This window comes from Homo sapiens, chromosome 5, assembly GCF_000001405.40.
Source record: "Homo sapiens chromosome 5, GRCh38.p14 Primary Assembly".
Lineage (NCBI taxonomy): Eukaryota > Metazoa > Chordata > Mammalia > Primates > Hominidae > Homo > Homo sapiens.
This window is the reverse complement of record NC_000005.10, coordinates 69848675-69866535: the sequence shown is the minus strand read 5'-3', so window position 1 is coordinate 69866535 and position 17861 is coordinate 69848675.

The following is a 17861-nucleotide window of genomic DNA, read 5'->3' as shown; positions in this document are numbered from 1 at the left end:
GATTAATCCTAACAAAACTGTAAAATGTCTCAGTAAAAATCTAAATGAATTTTTCATAACAAGTGCTGGCAATAGATTTTAAATATGTTCTGATCATTATTTGTCTCTTGTTGGCATGGAGAAAATCCTTTTTTTTTTTTTCAGCCTGGGGAATCCCAAACTATATCTCTAGTAACAAGGAAACCATTTTACCGGAATTTTTATTAACATGGAAAAGTTCTGTCAATTAATCAGACTTCACTGTCCATATCACTTTCAACCTTTTGGGAAGGTAGAAAGATGGAATTCTGAAACTAAAGTTGGTAAAGTTCACAGACATCGTCAAACTTGCATGGTCTAAGGCATTTCTTCTTTCTGTGGTTCATGAGTTAGTAACAGCTAAACCAAGTGTCTAGGAATATTAGCTCTGATTCTAGAAATCTACACTTATTTAACTAAATGCTGTAAGGACTCAGGAAATCCATTCTTTCAACAAAAGTTACTGAAGACTTTCCCCATTAGTATCCTAAACAATGTCTGCAAAATTGGTTTTCATACCTGGATACCTTGTCTTCTAAGAGACACGGCAGGGAAAGATCATAGGAAAAAAGTCACTATCAGGCACAGCTAACAACTAGCAAACCCATAGTCTTTAAAAGACTGATCCTTTGATTCCTATCTCTCAAGTAAAGAGGTTTAGGTCATCTTCATATTACAGGAAAGTATCCCTACCAAAAACTTCTAACTAATGACTCTTAGGATTCTTCCAAAAGCAAATAGTCTTTGGGAGAAGACAGCTTCCATCAAATGCCTTTGGATCAAGTGAATCACTATATGAGATATCGGTATCTGCAAACCAAGATCCACAAAAAAAGATCCATTGTTTGTCATATTTAATCTGTATATCTTGAGTTTTCATTTTCCTAGTTAACTTTATCTTTTTATGCTTAAGGTTACATTTAATTACTTTACCTATAAAGCTACTATTCCTAATTCCTCTATGCCGTCCTTAGTCACTCTCTAGAAGAGTCCGGAAGCTGGCCGTAATTTGTTCACAATTTGGCTAAACATGCAGTTGAATCAGTGCTAAGCTGCACACATTTTCCTTAGGATGCCAATTAGTGTTTTTTTTTTTTAACATCGATTCCTAAATATGAAACATCTGGGTTTATCAATAATTGGACTCACTATTTATTGTTATTTTATCTGACAAACAGCAGAGTATTAGATAAATAGAAATCTTAAATCCTAACATGCTGCACCCAGGAAAGAAAGCTTATGCCTACAGCAGAACAGCACTTAGGGATCTTTAATAGAATGCAACTTCTGTCACTAAACCTTTAGAAAGAAATGTCTTAAAAAGAAGAGAACAAATGGCACATACTTAATTCATTTCTCACATTTACATATCATAAAAAATTCTTATTACATATTCAAGCTCCTATCACATCTACCTCTTCCTCTATGTGATAAGGTCTTCATTTTATATCCCCAAAAGTGATTAATAGCAGAATGGAGCTGAAAGCAATCAATAAACTCAATCAACCTTAATGACTGCTACTGGATTTGTGGTACCAGAACCTATTGATTATTACAGCAATCTTGACATAAACTAACATACTGATGTGGTAGTCAGAATAATGGCTCTTCAGAGATGATGCGGTCCTAATCCAGATAATTTATAAATTTGTTAGCTTACCTGGCAGGACAGACTTTGCAAATGCAATTAGAGTTAAGGATTTTGAAATGGAGAGACTATCATAGATTTTTAGATGGCCAAATGCAGTCATAAGATTCTTTACACGTAGAAGAGGGAGATATAAAAGGAGAATGTGAAGACTTGCTCCTTCATTTGTAGCTTTGAAGGTCAAGGAAAGGAACTGTTATGAACTGAATATTTGTGTCTCCCTAAAATTAATCTATTGAAGATGATTGGCATTGTTCAAATATTAATAGATTATTTTCAATGATCTATTAATTGGCAGTGTGATAGTATCTGGAGATGGAGCTTTTGGGAGGAACCTAGGTTGAGATAATGTCCTAAGTGTGGTGTTCTCATGATAATGTTAGTGTTCTTATAAGAAAAGGTGGAGATACTAGACCACCTCCCACCCAACCACCCTTCTCTTTCTCTCTCCGTAAACATGTATCCAGGAAAGGCCATGTGAACACAGAGAGAAGGAGGCCATCTACTAACCAGAGAGGGAGTGGGCCCTCACCATGAACCAAATATACCAGCACCTTAATCTTGGACTTCCCAACTTTCAGAACTCTGAGAAATAAATGTCAGTTGTTTAAGTCACCCGGTCTATGGTATTTTCTTACAGTATTCCAAGCTGCCCAAGACAGGGAACATGCATCAAAGAATGCAGCTGGATTCTAAAGCCTGGGAAAGGCCAGGTCATGGATTATTCCACAGAGCCTATAGAAGGAATGCAGTCTTCCAATGCTTTGATTTTAAATCAGTAAGACCTGTGTTGAACTTCTAACCTGGAATACTGCTAGACAATAAATTTATGTTGTTTTAAACTACTAAGTGTATTGTGATTTTTATAACAGCCACAGGAAAATAATACATTTGGCAAATCAGTGCATGTTTCATGATGGTCAATGATATGCCCCAGGGTCCATCTTAGCCATGATTTCTATCCCTTCAAAAACCAAAACAAAATAAAAAAGTAAAACAAAAAGACCAATTTTACTATACTACTTGATTTTTAACAATATTTTATATGTATTTAATCCAGTATATCCAAAATATTGTCATCTCAGCATAAAACAATATTAAAATTATTCAGTTTTACATTTTTTAAACTAAATCTAGTTTGTATTTTACATATAGCATAAATCAATTCAAATCCACCATATTTCAAGTGTTCAATATCTACATGTCACTAGTAATGACTATAGTGGACAGAATTGATCCAGATTTCCAGGTGTATTGCTATAAAACTAACCATATTTTTATCTTATTAAAACAAAACAAAACTCCTCCATAACTATGTCTATGTTCCTTTTGCTTTTATTAACATTGAACATATTCTTGTTTTTAATCTAATTTTGTCTGTATTTAGGTCTATTTTTTGGTGGTGTTATTTCTTGTATGCTTGGCATCAACTTTTTTTTCAATTTCTTAGACTATCTAAACTATTATGCTCTGAGTTTAGCTCAATTTCAATCAGCTACTCACTTTGAAAGACTCATTTAACTCTCTTAAGCCATTCTCCACAAACATGAAAAATCTTCCTCTCACTCTTCCCTGCTGAAACACTGCAAAAGTATGTCAAAATGGTGTACTTTCTTGGCACAGGGTTTCAATAAACTTAGTTTTGCTTTAATAACAAATTATCTGAATATATTTCAGGGAGTTCCACTGGTAAAAGCATAAAATCATGTTAGTTCAGGTCATCTTTTGTAAAGTTATGACAGTGCCATAGTATCAATTCTTGTCAAAATTTATGACTTCAAAATCAACTTAATATGCATCAACATAGATATTTTTTAGTTAATTCTAGACTCCAGGTGCTCATTTAAATAATATGGGTACATAAGACTGAACAAAACCAGTTGCTATTGAATGTACATTTTAGAGAAATACTTCATACACAGCTGTGTTTTGTTAAATAAGGAACTTGATGACATAATCAATATCACGGCAGCATACAACTGTTTGGTTAGTATGTCTCTTTAAACAAGCACATATGCTCATTCATGGAGTGTGTATTTGTATCTGTGTATGGTCTGTGTGGTGAAGCAGCAAGCAACAGTTGGATGTCTTAATTATCTAACAGGAAAAAACACCTAAATAATCAGAAGAAATTTTGATTTATTTATTAGTTCGACTGAGCTTTTCTCTTGAATGTAACACAGATGGTCCCAGATTTACAATGGTACAACTTTACAGCTTCATCATGGTACAAAAGTGATAAACATTCAGTAGAAACAATGCTTTTATTACCCATATACCCATTCCGTTTTTCACATTCAGTATTTAATAATTTACATGTGATATTCAACACTTTATTTAAAAATAGGCTTTAGGTTAGATTTTTTTTTTGGACTGGCTAATGTAAGTGTTCTGAGCACATTTCTTAAGTGTATTTTTTTTTAATACTTTAAGTTCTAGGGCACATGTGCACAACTTGCAGGTTTGTTACATATGTATACATGTGCCATGTTGGTTTGCTGCACCCATTAACTCATTATCTACATTAGGTATTTCTCCTAATGCTATCCCTACCCATCCCCCCACCCCACAATAGGCCCCAGCATGTGATGTTACCCACTCTGTGTCCAAGTGTTCTCGTTGTTCAATTCCCACCTATGAGTGAGAACACACGGTGTTTGGTTCTCCGTCCTTGCGAAGGTTTGCTCAGAATGATGGTTTCCAGCTTCATCCACGTCACTACAAAGGACATGAACTCATCATTTTTTATGCCAGCATAGTATTCCATGGTGTATGTATGCCACATTTTCTTAATCCAGTCTATCATTGATGGACATTTCGGTTGGTTCCAAGTCTTTGCTATTGTGAAGAGTGCAGCAATAAACATACATGTGCATGTGTCTTTATAGCAGCATGATTTATAATGCTTTGGGTATATACCCAGTAATGGGATCACTGGGTCACATGGTATTTCTAGTTCTAGATACTTGAGGAATTGCCACACTGACTTCCACAATGGTTGAACTAGTTTACACTCCCACAAACAGTGTAAAAGCATTCCTATTTCTCCACATCCTCTCCAGCACCTGTTGTTTCCCGACTTTTTAATGATCGCCATTCTAACTGGTGTGAGATGCTATCTCATTGTGGTTTTGATTTGCATTTCTCTGATGACCAGTAATGATGAGCATTTTTTCATGTGTCTGTTGGCTGCATAAATGTCTTCTTTTGAAAAGTGTCTGTTCATATCCTTTGTCCACTTTTTGATGGCTTTGTTTTTTTCTTGTAAATTGGTTTAAGTTCTTTGTAGATTCTGGATATTAGCTATTTGTCAAATGGGTAGATTGGAAAAATTTTCTCCCATTCTGTAGGTTGCCTGTTCGCTCTGATGGTAGTTTCTTTTGCTGTGCAGAAGCTCTTTAGTTTAATTAGACCCCATTTGTCTATTTTGGCTTTTGTTGCCATTGCTTTTGGTGTTTTACACATGAAGTCCTTGCCCATGCCTATGTCCTGAATGGTATTGCCTAGGTTTTCTTCTAGGGTTTTTATGGTTTTAGGTCTAACATTTAAGTCTTTAATCCATCTTGAATTAATTTTTCTATAAGGTGAAGGAAGGGATCCAGTTTCAGCTTTCTACATATGGCTAGCCAGTACCATTTATTAAATAGGGAATCCTTTTCCCATTTCTTGTTTTTGTCAGGTTTGTCAAACATCAGATGGTTGTAAATGTTTAGCGTTATTTCTGAGGCCTCTGTTCCATTCCATTGGTCTATATCTCTGTTTTGGTACCAGTAAAATGCTGTTTTTGTTACTGTAGCCTTGTAGTATAGTTTGAAGTCAGGTAGCGTGATGCCTCCAGCTTTGTTCTTTTTGCTTAGGATTGTCTTGGCAATATGGGCTCTTTTTTTGATTCCATATGAACTTTAGTTTTTTCCAATTCTGTGAAGAAAGTCATTGGTAGCTTGATGGGGATGGCATTGAATCTATAAATTACCTTGGGCAGTATGGCCATTTTCACGATATTGATTCTTCCTACCCATGAGCATGGAATGTTCTTCCATTTGTTTGTGTCCTCTTGTATTTCGTTGAGCAGTGGTTTGTAGTTTTCCTTAAAGAGGTCCTTCACATCCCTTGTAAGTTGGATTCCTAGGTATTTTATTCTCTTTGTAGCAACTGTGAATGGGAGTTCACTCATGATTTGGCTCTCTGATTGTCTGTTATTGGTGTATACAAATGCATGTGATTTTTGCACACTGATTTTGTAACCTGAGACTTTGCTGAAGTTGCTCATCAGCTTAAGGAGATTTTGGGCTGAGATGATGGGGTTTTCTAAATATACAATCATATCACCTGCAAACAGGGACAATTTGACTTCCTCTTTTCCTAATAGAATGCCCTTTATTTCTTTCTCTTGCCTGACTGCCCTGGCCAGAACTTCCAACACTATGTTGAATAGGAGTGGTGAGAGAGGGCATCACTGTCTTCTGCTAGTTTTCAAAGGGAAAGCTTCCAGTTTTTGCCCATTCAGTATGATACTGGCTGCGGGTTTGTCATATATAGCTCTTATTATTTTGAGATATGTTCCATCAATACCTAGTTCATTGAGAGTTTTCAGCATGAAGGGCTATTGAATTTTGTCAAAGACCTTTTCCGCATCTATTGAGATAATCTTGTGGTTTTTGTCTTTGGTTCTCTTTATGTGATGGATTACATCTATTGACTTGCGTATGTTGAACCAGTCTTGCATCCCATGGATGAAGCCAACTTGATCTTGGTGGATAAGCTTTTTGATGTGCTGCTGGACTCGGTTTGCCAGTATTTTTGTTAAATGTACTAAATGCATTTTTTACCTAAAATATTTTCAACTTATGAGTATATCCAGATCCATCATAACACATCTTGGCCTGTGGTTATCAGGATGTAACTCATTATAAGTCGAGGTAGATTTGTATTATATCCCATGTACACACACACACACACGCGCGCGCGCACACACACACACACACACACAGACTTAATCTGTTTACAGAAATAAAAGGAATAAAATACCGTTTCTTTTATACACCAAAACTAGCCATCTTGACAGATACTTCACTCTGAAAAATAACGTTTTATAGCTACTTTACAGATTAGTGTAATAATTTGGTGTTTCTGTTTCAGAGATTCGATTTCACATTTCAATAAGTAGGCCGCTCCCTCTGCTAAGCCTGGGAATGTAATTCTTTTGAAAAACTATCTGTGCTGTAAAATTACATGTCATATTGGGAAAAGGACAATCGCAAACAGTAGTCACACATAAAATCAAGCAACACAGACATCCTTTTCACATACAGTGAAGACCCTTGTCAATTTTGAGATTACACAGGAAAACAGAATGGGGGACAAGTGTCTCTGACACATAGAAAATCCCGTGAAGAAGAACTCAGCTGACACAATCAAAACATACACAAAACTGAAAGAAACAAGGTGAGTGCTTTTTATATTAGTTCAGCTGTCAAGAAAGTGTAAAATAAACCTAACATTTTTTTACTAAGTGAGGATTTTCTTTTTTGAAACATCATCATTTATATTTATCCAGTTTGCAACTTCATCAGCTGAATCTCAGGATGTGTTCCATGACACTGAAGGACAATTAAATCATATCCATGACAATATATGAGAAGCTGACAGGAGAACATGGTGGCATTTGAATTAATGTCTATCATTAGATAGAATTTCTGATCACATAATTTAAGTTGTAGTTTTCCATACAATTTAATCAAGATAAGCACTTATTAGGTGAGTGATATACTTTGGCTCTGTGTCCCCACACAAATCTCATGTTGAATCGTAATCCCCACGTGTCAGGGGAGGGGTCTGGTAGGAGGTGATTTGATCATGGGGGTGGATTTCCCATACTGTTCTCGTGACAGTCAGTGAGTTCTCACAAGATCTGATGGTTTAAAAGTGTGTGGAACTTCCCCCCGGCTCTTCTCTCTACTGACACCATGTGAAGAAGGCACCTGCTCCCCCTTTACCTTCTGCCATGATTGTTAGTTTCCTGAGGCCTCCCAGTCGTGCTTCCTGTTAAGCTTGCAGAACTGTGAGTCAATTAAACCTCTTTTCCTCATAAATTACCCAGTAGTTCTTTATAGCAGTTTGAGAAGAGATAGATACAGAAAATTGGTACCAGAGCAGTGGGGCATTGCTATAAAAATACCTGAAAATATGGAAGTAACTTTGGAACTGGGTAACAGGCAGAGGTAGGAAACAGTTTGGAGGACTCAGAAGAAGACAGGGAGATATGGGAAAGTTTAAATCTTCCTAGAGACCTGTTGAATGGTTGTGAACAAAATGCTGATAATGATTTGGATAACGAAGTCCAGGCTGAGGGGGTCTCAGATGGAGATGAGGAACTCATTGAGAACTGAAGAAAAAGTTACTCTTGCTATGCTTTAGCAAAGAGACTGACAGCCTTTTGACCCGGCCCTAGAGATCTGTGTAATGTTGAACTTCAAAGAGATGATTTAGGGTATCTGGTGAAACAAATTTCTAAGCAACAGACCTTCCAACATGTGGCCTGGCTGCTTCTAAAAGTTTATGCTCATGTCCATGAAGAAAGAGATGGCTTGAAACTGAAACGTATATTTAAAAGGAAAGCAGACCATAAAAGTTTGGAAAATTTGCAGCCTAACCATATAGTAAAAAAGAAAAACCCACGCTCTTGGGAGAAATTCAAGCAAAAATTTGCATAAGTAAAGAGGAGCCAAATGTTAATGGCAAAGACAATGTGGAATACGTCTCCAGTACATTTCAGAGACCTTTGAGGCAGCCCCTCCCATTATAAGCCTGGAGGCCTAGGAGGGAGAAATTGTTTAGTGGGATGGGCCCAGGGCCCTGCTGCTCTGGGCAGCCTCGGGACATGGTGCCCAGTGTTCCAGCTGCTCAGCTCCAACTGTGGCTAAAAGGGTCCAAGGCACTACTCAGGCCATTGCTTCAGAGAATACAAGCCTCAAGCTTTGGTGGCTTCCACATGAGGCTGGGCCTGTGGTTGTGCAGAAGGGAAGAGGTGAGGTTTGGGAACCTCCATCTAGATTTCAGAGGATGTATGGAAATGCCTGGATGTCTAGGCAAAAGTCTGCTGCAGAAGTGGAGCCCTTATGGAGAACCTCTACTAGGGCAGTGCAGAGGGAAAATGTGGGGTTGGAGCCCCCACACAGATTCCCCACTGGGGCACTCCCTACTGGAGCTTTGAGAAGAGGGTCATAGTGCTTCAGACCCCAGAATGGTAGATCCACTGACAGCTTGCACAGTGTGCCTGGAAAAGTCACAGGCACTCAATCCTAGCCTGTGAAAGCAGCTGTGGGGGCTGTGCCTTGCAGAGCCACAGAGGCAGAGCTGTCAAAGCTCATGGGAGCCCAGATATTGCATCAGTATGCTCTGGACGTGAGAGATGAGGTCAAAGAAGATTGTTTCAGAGCCTTAAGATTTAATGACTGCCTTGTCGGGTTTTGGACTTGCATGGGGCCTGCAGACCCTTTGTTTTGGCTAATTTCTCCCTTACGGAATTGGAGTGTTTACCTGATCCCTGTACCCCCACTGTTGTCTTGAAATTAACTAACTTGTTTTTGATTTTACAGGCTTATAGGCAGAAGCGATTTGCCTTGTCTCAGATGAAACTTTGGACATGGACTTTTGAGTTAATGCTGGAATAAGTTAAGACTTCCAGTCTGTTGGGAAGGCATGATTGGTTTTGAAATGTGAGAAGGACATGATACTTGGGAGGGGCCAGAGGAGAAATAATATAGCTTGGCCCTCTGTCCCCACCCAAATCTCATCTCAAATTGTAATCCTCTCATGTCAAGAGAGGGGCCTGGGTGGAGGTGACTGGATCATGGGAGCAGATTTCCACATGCTATTCTCATGATAGTGAGTGAGTTCCAAGAGATCTGATGGTTTAAAAGTGTGTGGCACTTCCCTCCTTGTGCTCTCTCTCTCCTGGTGCCATGTCAAGAAGAACCTTGTTTCCCCTTTGCCTTCCACCATGATTTTCTGAGTTTCCTGAGTCCTCCCATTCATGCTTCCTGTAAAGCCTGAAGAACTATGAATCAATTAAATCTCTTTTCTTCATAAATTACTCAGTCTCAAGTCATTCTTTATATCATTGTGAAAACTGACTACTACGGTTAGCAATCTTAAAGAATACTTGTGATTTTGAGAATCAGGCACATATTTTTTTAATAATCGGACTGCTTACAATTGTTTAACTCCTTGCAACTTATAGTTAGTGCCTAAAACTTTGATGACTTTCATTACATTTCAATGGCTCTGTTCCCTTATAGCAAACTACCTTTTTTACTGTACTTACTGTAACTACAGTGCATTTATTTTCAGCCCAAATAGTATTCAGTAATAAGCATTTCTTCCCACATAAGAATAAGTTATATTCCTATTCACTATATTCTAGAATTTCTATTTTCCTTCCACAGTGCCAGCTAAAATTAAAGTGGAATAATCTATTGGGGCCCTGTGTATTTAATGTTTGTTTTCTTAGTATATTATAAACACTGTGAAGGAAGGAAATCCTTGCCTCTTGTTTATACTTTTATCTCCATTATAGAAACACTCTGCATTATTTTCTTACTGCTGCTGTAGCCAATTACTACAAAGTTAGTGGTTTAAAATAGCACAAATATAGTGTCAAACAATTGTGTTTGTCAGATGTCTGCAATGCATCTTATGAGGCTAAAATCAAAGAGTGAGAACTGTTGTGTTCCTTTCTGAAGGTTTTAGGGGAAAATCAGTTTCCTTGACTTTTCCAGCCTCCAGAGGCTGTCCTGATTTGTTAGCTTATGGTCTTTCATTTGTTCAAACCAGAAATGCTGTGTCTCTCTGACCATTCTTTTGAAATCATACCACCTTATGTTTCTAGCCAAGAATGTTTCCCTAGTTTAAACCCATTTGATTACACTGAACTCAAAAGGACACTTTTTCATCTTACCATCCTTAACATTATAATACTTGCAAAGCCCCTTTTACCAGATAGTTAACATATTCACAGCTTCCAGAAATCAGGACATGCGGTTTTTTTTTTGTTGGTTTGTTTGTTTTGTAAACCATTATTTTGCTTACTATACTGTCTTAATTGGAGGAAGCAACTTCTTCGAATAGGTGAATTAATTTCAAATTGATAATGTGATTCTGAATGAACATTAAAGAAATCAACTATTACACCGAACATTACTTTATTGAGCTAAACAAATATTAACTGACTATATAAAATTCATTACACATTTGGAGATAGAATTTTGTACTCTTTAATAAGACTTTTTACATTTTTTGCAATCCTTTTTCTTATTTAAAAAATCAGTACTGTATTAGTACCCACAATATAAGTTTGTTCTAAGAATCAAATGAGATAAACATTTCAGACACCTATCATAGTATCAAGTTCATATCGTAAGCCTAAAATACCAGATGACTTTTATTATTTTCAGAATGTAGTCAAAATCAACATAAAGTTACATTAACACTTGGTTTACTGTATCATAATGCTAGCTTTGTGTCATATCTATCTAGAGAGTACACTGAATAGCTTAAACCAAGTAGAAGGTGATTTCTTGCTTACATAACAGTTTACCATAAGTAATTTTGGCTAAAGACGCATCTTTCCTGCAAAAAATAATTCAAGTTAACGAAGGATCTACTATTACCAAATTGTATCTTCCCAGATTACTTTGTATATATCACCATTCCAGAAGACAAAAGACTACTCATGAAATACAATTTGCACACTTCTTTATATATGAAAAATTCACTTCTCTTCCCTCTGTAAACAACTTAAAGTTTTGCCCAGTTACTGCCTACAACTTAGAGTTCAGGATGTTTCATGACGTGCAGTTCTCTCCCTCAGGCCACTATATGACTTAACGAGGACTAGTGTCCTATAAAGTCAAAAGACAAATTATCTGTAAAATCTAAGTTACCATGGTGAAGCTCCTATCAGAAGACAAAGAAGTCTGCAGAGCACTGACAAAAATATTTCTGAGCAGTACAAATATTTATTTGATGAAACCATAAACATGTCCTGTGGAAATAACTTTAAGGTCCATTGTCCCTGTGGCTCATAGATTTACTTTCTGAGGTAATTTACATTTTCTCTTATTCTCCATGCCTCCATCTTAAATTAGAACAATGAGTGTTTTCTCAGCATGACTAATCAATTGCACTGATTAGTGCAATTTGGGATGCTTGAGGATATTTTAAGCCTTAATTTTTTTTTCTCACAATAGGCTTATTGTACCTTTGCCAAGTAGTTACGTGGAAACCATTTATTTATTTATTGGATCTAGTTTATAACCAAACATACAGTTCTTTCCTAGGTATAATTCTAAAGTCTGCCTCATTTCCTTCTTTTTTCTCCTCCCCAACACACATATGCTTCTCTGACTGTAAAGATGACCACTTTAAGGTCATTTGAAATCATAGACTTGAAAGAGAAAACAACTTCCCTGATGAGTTCTTTGCTTCAGGGCTGGGTTCCTTGTTTTTTATGAACACAGTAGGATTTAATTTCTGAGCAGCTTTTTCAACCTAATCAGAAAAACCTGAGCTTTTCTGTCACTGTATAATTCCACCATTACTAGACTTTTTGTTTACAAGTGGTTTCCAACAAGGAATGACTTTGTTTCCATAGAACACTTGTCAGTGTCTGGAGACATTTTGAATTATAATGATTAGGTGGTGATGCTACTGGTATGTGGTGGTATAGCCTAAAGATACTATTAATATCCTACAATGCAAAGAATAACCTCCCACAGAATGCAGGAATATCAGGCATAAAATGTCAATAATGCTAAGGTTTAGCAACTCAACTCTATCCACTTTCTTTCCACTCTAAAGACAGGATATTTCTTTTTTCTTTTTTTTTTTTTTTTTTTTTTTTGCCTGTGTTTATCTATTTCTTGGATTATGGAACAGAACAAACATGAACACATTACCTTTTGCCTTTCCTCATTTCCCACACTCTTTCCTAGAGGTAATATTAAGCTTCCAATTAATTTTAGATGGTAGTTTCAATAATTTTTTTTCACTGGGTATTACAAGTCTTCATTTCAACCCTCTGAGTTTGGTTTACTTGTCCATTTAATACTAATTTAGTGGATACGTTTTAGGTGCTGTTATGGCAGACCCAACTCAAGCTGGTGATTTCTATATTACTTGGAATCGTGCTAGTTGCTTTGACAACTACACTCAACAACATATAATATCTTAAACAGAACAGAAGTTTCATTCATATAAACTGTTTTTTTAAGATAGGAAAAGCATTGCTCCTTTATGTCCGCATTCAAGAACATAGGCTACTAAGGTATTTAATCTGCAGTATGTTGCTTCCAAGACTACTGTAGAATTGGCCGTTCCAGTCAAGCATACTGAAAAACGTATACAGAAGAGTGCATGTTGGGATTTTGGAGACTTAATTGGATATAAAATATGTTATTTCTACTAATTTTCCACTATTTTGACTTTAATCCCATGCCCTAATATAAAGTATATAAGAATGAGAAACATAGTTTATGTATCTATCAAAATAGAACATAAATGTTTGTGAACATTTGAATCTGTCAGCTTCTCTTGCTCACGTGCCTGTAGTGCCTGTACTCAGGATGCTGAGGCAGGAGAATCGCTTGAACCCAGGAGGTGGAGGTTGCAGTGAGCTGAGGTCACACCACTGCACTCCAGCCTGGGCAACAGAGCGAGACTCCATCTCAAAAAAAAAAAGAAGTGACTCAACTGATTGATGTGTAAAACCTCATTGTAAAATAATGTTCTATAAATGAGACATTAATACAGTTAAATTTTTGGATTAAAAAAGTCTGCCACTTTGTGAATATGTTTTATTTAGGCTTGATTTAGTTAATTTTCTTTTTTCTTTTTCTTTTTCTTTTTTTTTTTTTTTTTTTCTGAGGAGTTTCACTGTTGCTGCCCAGGCTGCAGCGCAGTGCTGGGATCTCGGTTCACTGCATCCTCCACCCCGCCAGTTCAAGTGATTCTCCTGCCTTAGCCTCCTGAGTAGCTGGGATTACAGGCACCCACCCACCACCATACCCGGCCAATTTTTTGTGTTCTTAGTACACATGGGGTTTCACCATGTTGGCCAGGATGGTCTCGAACTTCAGACCTCAGGTGATCCGCCCACCTTGGCCTCCCAAAGTGCTGGGATTACAGGCATGAGCCACCGCACCCAGCCAGTTAATTTTTCTATTAACTAAGACCTAATTAAGATTGAGGCAGAAGAAATGGGTCCTTGGGATTTGAAAATTACTATTCAATTTGGAAGTTTAATTTGCAACATAGATTGTCTGTTATTAAATTACTAGATATAATATCACAAAGGTGGAAAGAAAGGTTGCTTAGTTAAAGATCTAAGTTACTAGTCATGGTGTCAGATATAGAGAATGATTGAAGGTTATCAGAGTCACACACCAGATGAGTAAATTGTTGTTTTCAAGGAAGAGGTTACATAAAGGTAAGCGGAGTAATATTTCAGCATTTTTGTTAATTAAAAATTTGTAAAGTTATTTCCATTTCAAGGAAATTACTCTCAGTAATTTTACGGGTAAAATGACAAATTCCAAGTTTAATTTTCACATGTAACACCCTCCTTGAGCACTTATTTTTATAAAGCTATTAATCTATTTTGGTCTCAATTTACCTTTCTTTAAAGAGATTTTAAAATTTTCTGAAAGAAGTTGACATCTGGAAGTGTAGCTGTTATATTTTTCAATTTTTAATTACATATTTAATTATCCTTTAATTACTTAAGGTTATTCTCAAAAGTGAAGAGATAGCTGGGATCACACTGCGTAAGATTTTACTCCTGAATGTAATATTCAAAAATGTTACAAAGTCTATCAAAGAGGTTTTCATTCTGTGACAATACATGGTCAATTTGACATGGTCAGGAAGCACCACCCCCACTGAGAGATACCAAATTATGGAGTAAACCACCGTAATTTAGGCAGATCTTGAGAGAGAAAATGCTGAGTGGATGCAGAGGCAGCAATGAAGCTGAGCTGAAGAGGGAGGAAGCCTGTGCAGGGAACCCAAACACTACAGCTAGTTCCCCAGAATGGCTCCTAGGAAAGGGCCTCTGCCTGAGAGAGACCTGTGGCCTAGAACACCTAACACAAGAAACACAGTGATTGCAGGAGACTCCCCCAGGGCCCAGGAGCACATCTGGTGATGGAGGCATCTCTCCCACCCCCACTATAGAGCACACCTGCAAACAAAAGGAAGTATAAAACAGCCATGCCACTGGGTATTAGGCTAGCCACTGGCCATCACTCTTAAGCACTATGCATTGGATCACATCCCAAACTACAACATCAAAATTTATCCTGCTACATATACACCTGTGAAACCAAACACCAGAATTACTCATACATAAAAATCCTGGACAGAGAAAGCCCTGACCCTTTGAAAGCATCCAGAAACAAAACCAATTGCCTATACTCAACATACACTACAGTTAAAGGAACACTAACCCTACCAGAAGAGAAAAAATCAGTGCAAGAACTCTGGCAATTCAAAAAGCTAGAGTGTCCTCTTACCTCAAAATTAGCCCACTAGCTACCAAGCAATGGTTCTTAATCAGTCTAAAATAATTGCAACAGACATAGAATACAGAACCTCGATGGCAGGGAAGCTCATGAACATTAAGGAGAAAGTTGAAACCCTAGCCAAGTAATCCAGTAAAGCAATCTAAGTAAGTGCTGAAAGATGAAATTGCCATTTTAAACAACAGCCACACTGAATTTCTAGAGCAGAAAAAATTCAGTATAAGAATTTTATAATACAATAAGAAATATTAACAGAAGGTAGGCCAAGCTAAGGAAAGAATCTCAGAGCTCAAAGACTGGTTCGTTGAATCAACTGAGTCAAAAGAAAATTTTAAAAAAGAATTAAAAAAAGAAAATGAACCAAAGCTTTAAGAAATATGGAATTATATAAAGAGACCAAATCTACGACTCATTGTCATTCCTAGAAGAGAAACAAAGAGAAAAGGCAACTTGGAAAATAGATTTGAGAATAGAGTCTATGAAAATCTTCCTAACCTCGCTAGAGAGAGTGACATGTAAATCCAAAAAATACAGCAAACCCAGCTAGGCACTACAAAAGGTGACTATCCCTAAGGCACACAGTCATCATATTCACCAAAGTAAATACAAAAGAAAAAAAAAATCTTAAAGGCAGCTAGAGAGAAAGGTCATGTTTTCATAAAGCAAGAACTCCACTAGGCTAGTAGTAAATATCTCAGCAAAAACCTTACAAGCCAGAAGAGATTAAGGGCCTATGTCCAACATCATTAATGAAAATAAATTCCAGGCAATAATTTTATATTTCACTAAACTAAACTTCCTAAGTGAAGAAGAAACAAATTTCTCCTCAGATAAGCAAATACTGAGGGAATCAATTTCAACTTGACCAGCCTTATGAAAGGTCCTTAAGGGAGTGCTATACATTGAGTAAAAAGAATGACACCTGCTACCACAAAAACCCACTGAAGTACATAGCTCACAGGCACTATAAAGTATCTACACAATCAAGTCTACCTAAAAACCAGCTACAAACGTGATGATAGGATCAAAATCTCATGTATCAACATTAACCATAAATGTAAATAGGCTAAACACCCCCACTTAAATGACATACAATGGCAAACTGGATAAAAATGCAAGGCTCACCATCTGTAGTCTTCAAGAGACTCATCTCATATGTAATGACAGCCACTGGCCCAAAATAAGGGGATGGAGAAAATCTGCCATGCAAATGATAACAAAAAAGCAGGAGTAACTATTCTTATATCAGATAAAACAGACTTTAATCAAAATTAAAAAGAACAATTGAAGAATGAAGAGCATTACGTCATGAGAAAGTATATGATCAAACAAGAATACTTAAGTACCCTAAATATAAATGCACCCAACATGGAGCACCCAGATTCATAAAACAAGTTCTTTTTGGACTACAAAAAGACAGACGACCACCCAATAACTGTAGGAGACTTCAACACCCCCGCTGGCAGCACTGGATCATCAAAGCAGATAACCAAGAAAGAAACTGTGTACTTAAACTTCACACTTGACCATTTGGACCTAATAAGACATCTACAGAACACTCCACTCAATAACCACAGAATATACATTCTTCTCATCTGCACAGGGAACATATTCTAACATTGACCACATGCTTGGTCATAAAGCAAGTCTGGATAAATTTTAAAAAATGAAATCATATCAAGCACACTCTTAGATCTCAATGTAATCAAAATATAAATAAATATCAACATCTCTCAACACTACACAAATAGATGAAAATTAAACAACTTTCTCCTGAATAACTTCTGTGTGAAAATCAAAATTAAGGGAGAAATTTTAAGAAAGTGAAATTAATGAAAATGGGAACACAAATTACCAAAATCTCTGGGATGCAGCTAAATCAGTGTTAAGAGGAACGTTTAAATGCCTTTATCATAAAGTTAGAAATACTTCAAATTAACAATCTAACACTACACCTAAAGGAACTAGGGAAGAAAAAAAAAAGAACAACCCTACATCAACGCTAGGAATGAAAAGAAACAACTAAAATAGAGAAGATCTGAATGAAATTGAGATGCAAAAATCCATACAAAAGATTAATGAAACCAAGAGTTGATTTAAAAAAAGAGATTGATAGACCTTTAGCTAGATAAACAAAGAAAAAAAAGAGAAGATCTAAATATATAAATCAGAATGACAAAAACGACATTAAAAATGGTCCCACAGACATACAAAATAATCCTCAGAGAATACTAGGAATAACTCTAGACACAAAAATTAGAAAATCTAGAGGAAATGGATAAATTTCTGAAAACAGGCAATCTTCCAAGATTGAATCAGGAAGATACTGAAATACTGAAGAGACCAATATGAAGCTCTGAAATTGAATAAGTAATAAAAAATCTACCAAGCCAAAAAGCCCTGGACTATATGGATTCACAGCAAAATTCTACCGGAAGTATAACGAAGAACTAGTACAATTCTACTGAAACTATTCCAGAAAAGTTGAAGAGAACGTACTCCTTCCTAACTCACGCTGTGAAGCCAGAAGCAGCTTAATACCAAAACCTGGCAGAGACGCAAAAAAAAAGAACATTCAGGTGACCACTGTTGACGAACATAGACTCAAAAATTCT